Below are 12,524 nucleotides of genomic sequence, written 5' to 3' on the forward strand. Positions count from 1 at the left end.
CAAATCACTTAACTTCCCTTCAGCAACCTGTTTAGCCTCCCTGTGCCTCAGTTTCCTCATCTGTAAACTGCAAATGTTGGTGCTCATCTTATGTCCCTACACTGGGTTATAGTGCGATTTGAATGAAAGAACTTTGTGTACCACGTAGAACAACACAGTTCTCACTATGATTAGGATTAATCTTAATATTATTGTAGGTAGTTAAGTTAGAACAATAGATAAAGAAGTTAAACTTTACCTAAGAGTAGAACTGGCCTTAGTTACCTGACTGAATACATTTCAAAAGTTTTATCACCCCTTATTTTAAATAAATTGAATAGTACAGAGAGATGGACTGGGAAGAAAGCAGGACCTAGAGGTGACAGAGTCAAACCTTATTGCCTGACCCATGTAGACACTTAAGACATGCAGCTTGGCCGGGCGCGGTGGCTCACGCCTGTAATCCCAGCACTTTGGGAGGCCGAGGCGGGTGGATCATGAGGTCAGGAGATCGAGACCATCCTGGCTAACAAGGTGAAACCCCGTCTCTACTAAAAATACAAAAAAAAAAAATTAGCCGGGCGCGGTGGCGGGCGCCTGTAGTCCCAGCTACTCGGGAGGCTGAGGCAGGAGAATGGCGTGAACCCGGGAAGCAGAGCTTGCAGTGAGCCGAGATTGCGCCACTGCACTCCAGCCTGGGCGACAGAGTGAGACTCCGTCTCAAAAAAAAAAAAAAAAAAAAAAAAAAAAAGACATGCAGCTTACATGAATGAGCCATAGAGATATCTAAATTATTTGAAATTTCTGCATTACACTTTTTAATTTCTTTCTAAGTTTGATACAAGAAGAATATATTTGTTTTAAAATGAAGAGCATCATTATTTAAAAGAAAATACAACAACCAAAATAAACCATAGATAATCAGAGTGCCACAGACAGCTGATGTGGCAGCAGATAATAGGGGAGGAAACCTGGGGAGGGATAGAAAGAGCTCAAATTCATTGGGCGCTTATGTTCTAGACACTGTGATAAGTGCTTTCTACACCTGGTTGTATTTAGTCCTCTTGACAAGTCTAAAGGGTAGATGCTGGTAGTATCCCATTTTATAGATTAGGAAACTAGGACATAAGAGAGACCAAGTGATTTCCCATCTTAATGCTAGTTGGTGGCCAAGTAAGGATTCAAACCTGGTTGGTATGGCTTTAAAAATCTGTGCATTTCATGTATGTTTATTGCAGCACTATTTACAACAGCAAGGGCATGGAGCCAACCCAAATGCCCATCAGTGATAGACTGGATAAAGAAAATGTGGTACATATACACTATGGAATACTATACAGCCATAAAAAGAATGAGATTATATCCTTTTTAGGGACATTTAAAAATTTGTGCATTTCATGTATGTTTATTGCAGCACCATTTACAATAGCAAAGACATGGAGCCAACCCAAATGCCCATCAGTGATACACTGGATAAAGAAAATGTGGTACACATACACTATGGAATACTATGCAGGCATAAAAAGAATGAGATTATATCCTTTGTAGGGACATGGAGGAAGCTGGAAGCCATCATCCTCAGTGAACTAACACAGGAACAGAAAACCAAATACCACATGTTCTCACTTATAAGTGGGAGTTGAGGAACGAGGACACATGGACACTGGAGGGGAACAACACACACCGGGGCCAGTGTGGGGATGGGGAGCGAGGGGAAGGAGAGCATTAGGACAAATAGCTAATGCATGTGGGGCTTTAAAACCTAGATGATGGGTTGATAGGTGCAGCAAACCACCATGGCACATGTGTACCTGTGTAGCAAACCTACAGGTTCTTTATTTGTATCCCGGAACTTAAAGTAAAATTTAAAAAAAAAATAATAAAAATATTAAAATTAAAAAAGTCTTTGCATTTAATACTGAGCTAGATTAATCTCCAAGATCATGTGGACAACTTCCCATCTTGGAAGTAACTATCAGGAACTTCTGCTCTAAGTTTGTTCAAGCAAGTCCAGAACCAGTTTAAAACAGTCTACTATATTTAACTCACTTATTAATTAACAAACTGTGCCTTGAGCCCCAATACATCTTCATTTCCTCTATGCTACATCCTGTATGCCAGGTAAACTTGCTAAGTTATTCAACAATCTGATGCTTCTAGGCTTTCCCCGGCTAGAAGTGTGCCTCTGATCTCTTTCCCTAGAATTCCAAAAGGACCAAATTTTGCTTGCCTCTTTCGGTGCCTGTGTCATTGTCCCCAACTCAGGGGCAAACTGTAAACTTATACCATTAAGAGACGCCCCTTTAAGAAGAAGAATGCATGATTATAAATTTAATATGAAATAAACATCAATATTTACTTAAAATATAAATGATAATAGATTACAATTTTTTTAAGCTGACAAATATTTCACCACTTTTTATTGTTAAATCTCTCTCAGGATCTTGGAAATGGCCCATGCAAGTGAGAATCCCTGAACTGCAAGTGTTACCACCTTTGTCCCAGCTCCTTCCTCCTCACAGCTACTGGTCATTATTAAAACACAACCTTGGCCAACTACCCCAGTTCTAAAGGAAAGAGTAGTTATAAAAGGCATTTCTTTGGCCTCATGCATACGATAAAGTTGGAAATTAATAATTAAAAAATAATCTAGACCAGGCGCGGTGGCTCACGCCTGTAGTCCCAGCAGTTTGGGAGGCCGAGGCGGGCAGATCACGAGGTCAGGAGATCGAGACCATCCTGGCTAACATGGTGAAACCCCATCTCTACTTTAAAAATAAAAAAAGAAATAATAAAAAAATAATTAGCCAGGTGTGGTGGCGGGCGCCTGTAGTCCCAGCTACTTGGGAGGCTGAGGCAGGAGAATGGCATGAACCTGAGAGGTGGAGTTTGCAATGAACCGAGATCGTGCCACTGCACTCCAGCCTGGGCGACGGAGCAAGACTCTGTCTCATAAAAATAATAATAATAATAATAATAAACAAACATGAACAAAAGCTAGTCACAGTACAGCTTGAAAAGATGGATTTGAAATCAGATAAACCAGAAAGTAAGGGCAAGGCCAGTAGCAGGTGTAATGCTATAGGCTTACCGGTACATTGTGTACATTAGCAGAGGGTCTTTTAAAGAGAGAGCGTAAAATGCCCCAGAAACCATGTGAGCATTAAAGTTGGATCCCTGTGTGTTAGTAGAGCCAGAGGAATTACTATGTAGTGAAGACCATTTCTAGGCATTTCTTTATTTTGTCTTAACTCTACCTGAATTAAGTTCTTCATCTTTCCACTGCCCTTGTGCTCCATGTTATCCTATAATCCTCGAGATTATCCTCCCAGTGGCCTCTCAGGAGGTTGAACTTGCCCAGACAATGAGAGAAAGTAGTTCAGATCTCAACAATACACAGGGGAAATCAAAGTTCTCTTCCATATTCTGTCCATTTTTTAATAGGAAAACATTCAACATTGTTAGAAATGCCTGGGTCAAGTAGGGCCATAGGTTGAAGGCTCAGAAATTAGACTAAATGAGCTTAGGCTGCTGCCAACAGCAATAATACAATAACACTTAAATTTGGCATAATAGTTTGCTGATACAAGATCTTTTAATATGTTATTTTATTAATACCACAGACAACTTTGGGAGGTAGGGATTTTAGTCCAATTTTATTAATAATAATAACATATTTCTTGAGCCCTTACTATGTACTATGTGTTGTATTTGGCCCTTTAGCAGGAATATCTCATTCCATCTATATAATATATGATATATTATAATAGCCCCATGAAGTTGGAGTTTTATTCATTAGTGACACTAGGAAGTAAAAGCCCAAAAAACAAAGTAACCATCCACAGTCACGAAGCTTAATGGGAGGGACTGGAATCTGCATCCAGGAGGGCATTCTTACCCTCAGTTTGTATTGTCAGTGACCTGTCTCAGGCCGTACCGCTGGTGATAAAGGATGGAGCTATCTCCAAAACTCAAGGTTTTTACATTAAGTCAGCTTAGTGAAGCCAAAAACAAACAAATCATGTGTAGTGGGAATAGAGGAAAAAACCTGGAGGAAATGGCTTGAATTCTAGCCTCTTGTAGTTGTGTGACCCTGGGTTCTTTCTAAGTCACACTTTTTCTTTATTTGGAATGGGTATAAGAATTCCTTCTCCAGCTACCCCATCAGGGATTTGCAAAGCTCAAATGCAGTGAAAATCCTTTGTAAAGTAAACTTCTCATCACAGTTTGAAGTGCTTGTTCTTAAGTGAAAATTTAGTGTTTTAGTATCATTTTAGAATAGCATTAAAGGCATGGGGAATGTTTGAATTCTTCCTTTATTTATATTGCTAGTCATACTGTATGCTGTCTTACATACTAACCCAAAGATCAGTGAGTAAACTTCACATATGAACGAATAAAAATAATCCATTCTACTTGTGACATTCATTTTATAAAAAGAGTACCTCTTCATAGACCTTCTTAAATCACAGTTGTGAAAGTATCATAGAATGCAGGAAATTAATTATTGGAAGTAGGCACTAAAATGATACAGCATCTAAGAATATCAGATAAAGAGCACAGAAGAGATTTAAAATGCTTTTCATAAAGGCTTTACTTTATATTTAGCTAAATAATATATGGAAAAATTGGCACCTTTCAGCACCAGAGCAATTACTACTACTGTTACTGCAAAAGTTGATGCTTGGCCAACACCTGCAGTGGAATTGAATTAATGGAATTGATTTGCAGCCTCATTAAAAAAAAATACAAAACAAAACATGAAGTTGTTTTTCGGGAAAAAAATAGATTTGCACTTGGTTTCTAAAAATGTTTAGGTGACTACAAGTTACCTATTTGTAATTATAATACACTTTCTGCTATTGAGGACACTTTTCTACAATGGGTCAAGGCATTTCACACTTGCACAGAACAACACAGTGATAAAAGCAAAGCTGGGGGGCAATTTCTAGATAAACCATTTAATTAGTGACTGCTACATGTCAGCTGTGTGCTACACTTTACATATGTTGACTCATTTAATTTCTCAAACAACAAGGTAGATATTACTATTATTTAATGTTTGCATATAGAAAACTGAGGCTTAGAGGGGATAACTTGTCCAAAGTAGTTACTAAGTATGGACCTGTACTAGAACTCAGAGATGCCCAAAGCCTTGTTTTTCCTCCTCATTATGTCATGAAATAGTGTCATGACTTCCTTAAGAATGGATGGCACTCTTGACTCCCTGCCCTTTCACCACTGTGATTTGACTCAGTTTTGCTGTTCAGCAACTTATCTGATTCAGAGTCTCTGATTCTTAAGGAGAACCCTTGGTTCCTTCTACTAACTTCAACCTTATTTTTGTGGATAGATTGTTAAAAAAAAAACTGGAAAAAATTGAAATAACAAGCAGTTAAAAGCTATATACTCTCCTTTTTAGAACAGTAGTCATAGGAATTTTTCATATTACCAGCTCCATTGTCCCCAGGGTAATATTGTTACTAAATTTAAAAAGTGAAATCATGTACTTCATAATATCTTTATGTTTTATCTGCATTCTATTCATTTAGTTTATTTACAATGGAACCAAACCAAAGTCAATGAGATACAATAATAATTATTGTTTATATATGTATGTTTTATTTTTTTATTTTTATTTTTATTGTTTATTTTTTGAGACAGGAGTCTTGCTCTGTCGCCGAGGCTGGAGTGCAGTGGCGTGATCTCGGCTCACTGCAACCTCTGCCTCCCGGTTCACGCCATTCTCTTGCCTCAGCCTCCCAAGAGCTGGGACTACAGGCGCCCGCCGCCATGCCCAGCTAACTTTTTATATTTTTAGGGGAGACGGGGTTTCACCGTGTTAGCTAGGATGGTCTCGATCTCCTGACCTCGTGATCCACCTGCCTCAGCCTCCCAAAGTGCTGGGATTACAGGTGTGAGCCACCCCGCCCGGCATATGTATGTTTTAGATAGACTGATAGAATAAGTATATAGGCTTTAGCTGGGATTAGTGTGAAAATTTTATATAGCTAAGTTCAGGGAGCGTTATTTATTGAACCTGACTCTAAAGTCCAAATTTCTACCTGCAAAGCAATTCAGTCTGGAATTGTATGTATAAATAGCAGCAATAGCAGTAGCAGCAGCTAACATTTAAGCAGCAATCTGCATATCACACCCAGTGATCAGTGCTTTATTTACTCAATTTCATTCTCATCCTCACCTTGTAGATAATTGAACTTAGTGAGTTAAGAACTCTGGCAAAGTCTCACCAAGCCTGATCCATATTCATTTCCAGATCTGGCTGGCTTAGGAGCCTGGACCCTTAGCTTCTGCACCATGCTGTCCTCAGGGACCAGCCACCAAATATTGGCATATGAACTACATAGACTTTCTTTGGGTTCTCTCCCACTTGTCTGCTCCAAATAGCCTCAGAGAAGGTTCTTAAAGAAAAATTTCCCCCTGCTACTATTTTTTTTATTCTTTATTTTTACTAAGAAGCAGTCAAATCTGTTGGGGCTCATCATTGCCATCAACTCTGCACCAGGGTTTGGTGTAAAGGTGTGTTACTGAAATGCCACCTGCATGTGTTTAGAATAGTGTCGACCCAGATTGAGCTTCCTGGGAACACCTGCTAATAGCCTGCAGTGCCAATGGCTTTTTCATTGGGTTGCAAAGGCAGTAACTTGCTGTGAGTTGGGTAATTTTTCCTTCTAACCCTGCAGAAAAGGGCAGGACATCTGTAGAAAATATACCAATTTCTTTGATACATCCAAAGTACTTGTTCAATCTTACTAAAATTGAATGAGAGAACTGTGTATGCATTAATATATTTCTGTATATGACAGACAAAAAATGTTTGATGCTGGCTTCTTCCTGATTGCACAAAATTTGTGATTATTTTATGCTGCCAAATTGGTGAAATTAAATGGTTTTATTTTGCAAAACTTTGCAATCACTTGTGCAAAATGGAAAGAAAAAACTTGAAAAACAAACAAAACCCTAGACATATACAAGGGTATCAAACTATTAGAAAATTTAAAAGCCAACAACTTGAGTTATTTTGATGCCAACCAATGGAATAAAAGTTTTATATGTTTATGTGACTGAATAGTTGTTTTGTTCTGGCTCCAGATTCAGCTTTTGAAGTCGTAAAGTAAGTGTCTTGCAGATTCATGGAAACTTTTGTTTCCCTGAGCCTTACAGCAGTGTGCTCTGTAGGAGGACTGGGCACAGAACACCCAAAGTAGGATGTGCCTCAGCAGAGCCAAAGAACTGGTTTCTGCCAGGCTTGGAGAGAGCAGCTGGGTCCTCTAGTGTAGACTCTGCAGGAAGGGACCTAGCTAGCAAAGCCGTACACTTGAGTTCTAATTATAGCTGTGCCAATATCTAGTTCTGTGCTCCAGCGAAAATCACTTAATTCTCTGACTCTCACCCTCACCATCTCTCAAATGAGAGGGTTGCACAGAAGGACGCCTAAGGTCATTCTAACTTGAACAGTCTGAGAACCCTCATTCTCACCATTCCTCTGTTGAAGACTTATGTGAAGGTCTGAGGTCTAGTTTGTGAAGGTCTGTGAAGCCTTTGTAAAAGTTTCAACTTAGAAAATAACTAATTTTACATGTTGACTGAATAAAACCCCTTTTGCATTTTTCCAGAAAGGAATCTGATTCCCATGGGGTTACTCTGCTTTCCTGCCTTACTGCCTTCTCCCTTCCCCTTCCCCTTCCCCTCCCTTCCCTTCCCTTCCCTTCGCTTTCTTTTTTGAGATGGAGTCTTGTTCTGTTGCTCAGGCTGGAGTACAATGGCACAATCTCAGCCCACTGCAACCTCCACCTACTGGGTTCAAGTGATTCTTGTGCCCCAGCCTCCTGGGTAGCTGGGACTACAGGCGTGCACCACCACGCCTGGCTAATTTTTGTATTTTTAGTAGAGATGGGGCTTCATCATGTTGGCCAGGCTAATCACTATTTATTTTTTCATTAAAAGGATGCACTATTCTGTTCTCCAGTATCATGTCACACCTCGAAAGAAACATGTGACTTTGTGGATGAATTATAGACTTTAAATTGCAAAGGCAGCCACATCAATATATCCATCTAGGCGTATACCATATTATCAAATATGTAAAATGGAAGACATTGGATAAAATGCTTATTGCTATGAATGAGAAACTTAGCTTCTTTGGTTATGGAAAAAAGTAACAAAAGACAGGAATCAGTAAGGTCTGGCATTGCGGTTTGTTTTGTTTTTCCCTAAATAACTAGACTACCGTTTGACACTAAGACATCTACAGAAGCATTGCATAAGCTTTTTACTTTGACTGTAAATTTACATCTTTATACCATTTTCCATATTACACTGAAGTCTTGCCTTCCATATAGCTTCTGAATTGTTGCCTGCCCCTCATGTTTGATATGTAAATGCAGTGTTTCTTATGGAAGGACTTTAAATAATATATATACCTCTGCCTGTTTGTATGTTTAGAAATATGGAATTCTGTAATATGTAATATGTAAGTGACTTTTAGGCACATACACATGGCCTCTTTTATGTGTCAACTTTTTGACTGATGAAAAACTTAACTCTATTGAGTCCAGAGCAATTCCCTTTGAGTAAAACCTCACAAAAAGTTTGGAAAAAAAAATTGCTCCTTGACAAATATTTTTCAGGGACAATAGCTACTTTTCTGGTTGTGAAAGGCAAGCTGAAACCACACTTACATGACAAAACAGTGGGCCACCAGAGCAACATTTTATACTCAGAAAGAAATGCAAATCTAAACAGAGAACTTACTTTTTAAAAATAAAGGCAAGAGGGTTTTTTTGTTTTGCTTTGCTTTTATTTTGCGGTATGTTTTTGTTTTTGTTTTTAATATAAAAAGCCCCTTTCCACAGTAAAAGCTTTTTTTTTCACCCCCAAGAGGTTTAGAACTGTATACAGATAGTTACATACACGGGCATCTCAAATGAGAGGGCAGCATACATACATGTAATTGGTTGCTTTTTTCTTTCCCTCGGCAGTCTGTAAAAAATGTGAAAATGCTCCTGCTTCTGCCTAGCCATTAAAAGGCAGTGGCTGCACCATACTGTGATTTGGGAGCTGAAGAAAATGGCCAGAACTGACTGATATCTGATAAACAGTAACAGGAGTCAGTTTATTGCACCAATCGTTAAATAATGGTGCTGATTATAAGGCTGCTAACTGCAGATGCTGTAATTGTCTGTCATAAATCTTAGTCATTTGTGACAGGAGCACAATGAAAGGGAGCATCTGCTTGAGGGCAAATGACTTCTGATAAATATCAGCTCTACGAAAATGTACTTGGATGTGTCTCAATATTTTGGAGAGCCATTCATGTTGCTTCCACAAATGTGAAGTTATTATTGGTTTGTATTGATTTTGCCACCTTTTTTTTTTTAAAGAGACAGAGAGTGACTCAAGGTTGAGTTGAATAGCATCTCAGCTCTTTATCTGATCTACTCATTTCTCTCAAATGCATGTTTGAGTGAAAAAAAATAATTGCACTTTTTTCAGTAGATTGCTGTTCAGAAACACAGCCTGGGAAATTCAATATGCAGCATATAAAAAAATAACAAAAGCCAACATTTGTTGAAGGGGGAGGGAACACATTTGGATTTTTACAAAGGTTATTTTTCAGAAAAGATTTTAAGTCTTAAAATGCCAATCTCTAATGAATTTTAATTGCATGAAAATGAATTTTATGTTCTATTATGCCTATAGAAAAATAGCTAACATTATCATATTCATTATAAAAATTGCTCAAATAATAGAAACTATACAACAAGGACTTTTGTAAGTTAAAAAAACTTGGAAAAAGTTTGTATTACATAAAACCAATACCCACATTTTAAAAACAGCTGCTTTTTCCTAAAACATTTATTTCATTTAGTTGCTGCATCCAGGACAGCTTAGAAATATAAAGCAAATAAAATGAGGAAATTCAATATTGTGTTGGGCTCAAACTTAAAAATATGATTTGAGGATAAGAGTTATTATTAGTAAATGCAGGTTACATCTGTTTATAGCTGTTTGCATTTACCAGAGATGTGGGGCTCTTCACAAATCTTTCCATGTGAAGAATGTAAATGTTTTTTAGTTTGTTCCATGCAATTCCTGAATTTGAGAGTCCAGCTGAGTGGTCCAGGAGTGGCTTAGGTTTTGGGTCTGAGGAGAAGTGACGACATACCACAAAAGGAGAGATGGTACTCAGAGAGGGAATCAAAGTACAACTTTCATGTAAGCTGCCTGGAGTCTTTTCTTCTGAACTGCTCTGCTTCTATTTATAACTCAGTGCCTCAGGCTGAAATACCCGGATAAAGTTGTCCATACATCCACAGAACAAAGACTCCAGAGACTGTCACAGTGACACTATTAACTGTTTTACCATCTTATTCACAAGGGGATTTAGATATATTTTTTCTGAAAGGTCGACTCAGATTTTTCCTTGTGTCCTTGGCCATAAAAGGACTTGAGCTTATTGGACTTCCTAATGACTCTAATAATTATAGATACCCAGAGCTTCATGGTAACAGCACCCAGGGTGTGGGACAACTTTAGTTAAAGATTCCTTTAAAACAACATCCCTCTGGTATTATTGTACTAAATTTCCTGGGAGAATATCTGAAACAGAGTGCTCTATACTGACCCTAAGTTTTAGAAAGGCAAATTTTGGCAAGAAAGGTAGTTTTGATTGATATAATTAAGAAATAGAAAAACAAGTCCTAAATCTTAACTGTGTATAAAGATATGGAAGAAGGGAGATATACAGAAAAACAGTGTATTTGGGAGTCAGGCCAAACTGGATTTGATTCCTAGCTCTACGAAACAAGTTCTTAACCTCATCTTTCATTTTTACAAATTCACTATTTCTGTTAATACTAGGGTTGTCAGTAAGAAGTCCTATCTATAAATCATTTGATACAATGCTTGACACAAAGGAGACATGCAATAGTTATAGCTATTGTTGGTTATGTAATTAATATTGTGTATTTATTGACTCATATTACATATTAATAACAATAACAAAATTTGCATGCTTGTCTGAGTTTGCATTTGCATATGATTTTAATTCCCCTGATTATAATATTGTGATTTATCTTCTTCTGGAAAGAAACTGCTAGGAAACTTAGATAAATTGCGAGTTTCTATTTCTATGGGTATATTTCCATGAGTAGGTAGAAATAAAGCAAATACGTGTTAAATACCTAAGTCCTGTCTTCTGGAGGTTGGAACTGATAAAAGGGGTGCAAGGGAAGAACACTCTAACATTCATCCCTGCTTTCACAGAGCTTATTGTATTGTTAGGTAGAAAGAATTGGCAGTTGATAATGTATTAATTTTCTCATGTGTGTTAATGAGTGAGTGTAGGGCAACAGAAGGTCAGAAGGCCAGAGTCATCAGTGAAGGGACCTGAGCTAAGCTAGGCTTTATAGCCAAATGTGATTTGGGTAAGTCCAGTCACCTGATTTCAGTGGGGCCAACAGCATGAGCAGAGGCATGAGTATGACACATGACATATGGAAAACATAACATATTCGAAAGTTAACTGAAATAAAGCATAGAGTATATGTTGGGGCATAATGGGAAATAAATGAAGTTGAATTGGTGGTGGTAGGTGAGGTCCTAGTAGTAGTGTTATTATTTTTGTTATCCTTAATAGCTAGCACTATTAACTCAACTATGTGACAGATATTAAACTAAGTTCTTTCATGCATAACTTCAATTAAGCCCAACAGCAAGCCCAAAAGATAGTAATATTATTATTCCCATTATTTGGGTAAAACAGTTAAAGCTTAGTAAATTTAAGCAAGAGTCAGTATTGTGTGATGGTCAAGAGTATAAACACTGTGACCAGACTGCCTGGGTTTGAATCTTGGCTTACTAATTACTACCTGTGTGAAGTTGGGCAATTGCTCATCTTTTTTTGCTCATCCTGTGTATCTGTTTCTTCACCAGTAAAATAGGGATAATAATGATACCTAGCTCATAGGGTTATTGTGTGGATCCAATTAGTTAAGTTTATGTGTGTGTGTGTGTGTGCACGTGTGTGTAGGTATATATGTATGTACATATATACATACATATATACACACACATAAATTTAACTAATTATGCGTATGTATATATGCATGTAGGTATATATTATGTACACACAAACTTAACTGTGTATGTATATATACATATATGCACATATACATATATACACACATACAAACACACACACATAAACTTAACTATTTGGATCCACACAATAACCCTATTTTATATGTGTATATTTATACATATATACATATGTATGTATGTGTGTGTGTATATATCTTCTTTAGAATACTGCTAACTATATAGTCAAGTGTGATATAAGTGTTTGCTCTTATTAAGTAGGTAACACATAGATAGCAATTTTGTAAAAGACACAGAAAATCTTTCTATGACTTTTTTATGTTGACTGTCCATTTAAGCTGAGAGAATAACATACATAAATAATTTATATTCACTTTCAAAAAAGTAGAATATACAGATAAAAATTTAAAATGTTTTATTTC

At 37.4% G+C, this 12,524-nt stretch overlaps 1 long non-coding RNA gene across 3 annotated transcripts in view; it reads left to right on the forward strand.

Moving 5' to 3' along the window:
* The window catches only part of SOX2-OT (SOX2 overlapping transcript), a 685,549-nt gene that overhangs the window by 187,021 nt on the left and 486,004 nt on the right, over positions 1–12,524 (forward strand). The window lies entirely within an intron of this gene.

Source organism: Homo sapiens, chromosome 3 (assembly GCF_000001405.40).
Source record: "Homo sapiens chromosome 3, GRCh38.p14 Primary Assembly".
Lineage (NCBI taxonomy): Eukaryota > Metazoa > Chordata > Mammalia > Primates > Hominidae > Homo > Homo sapiens.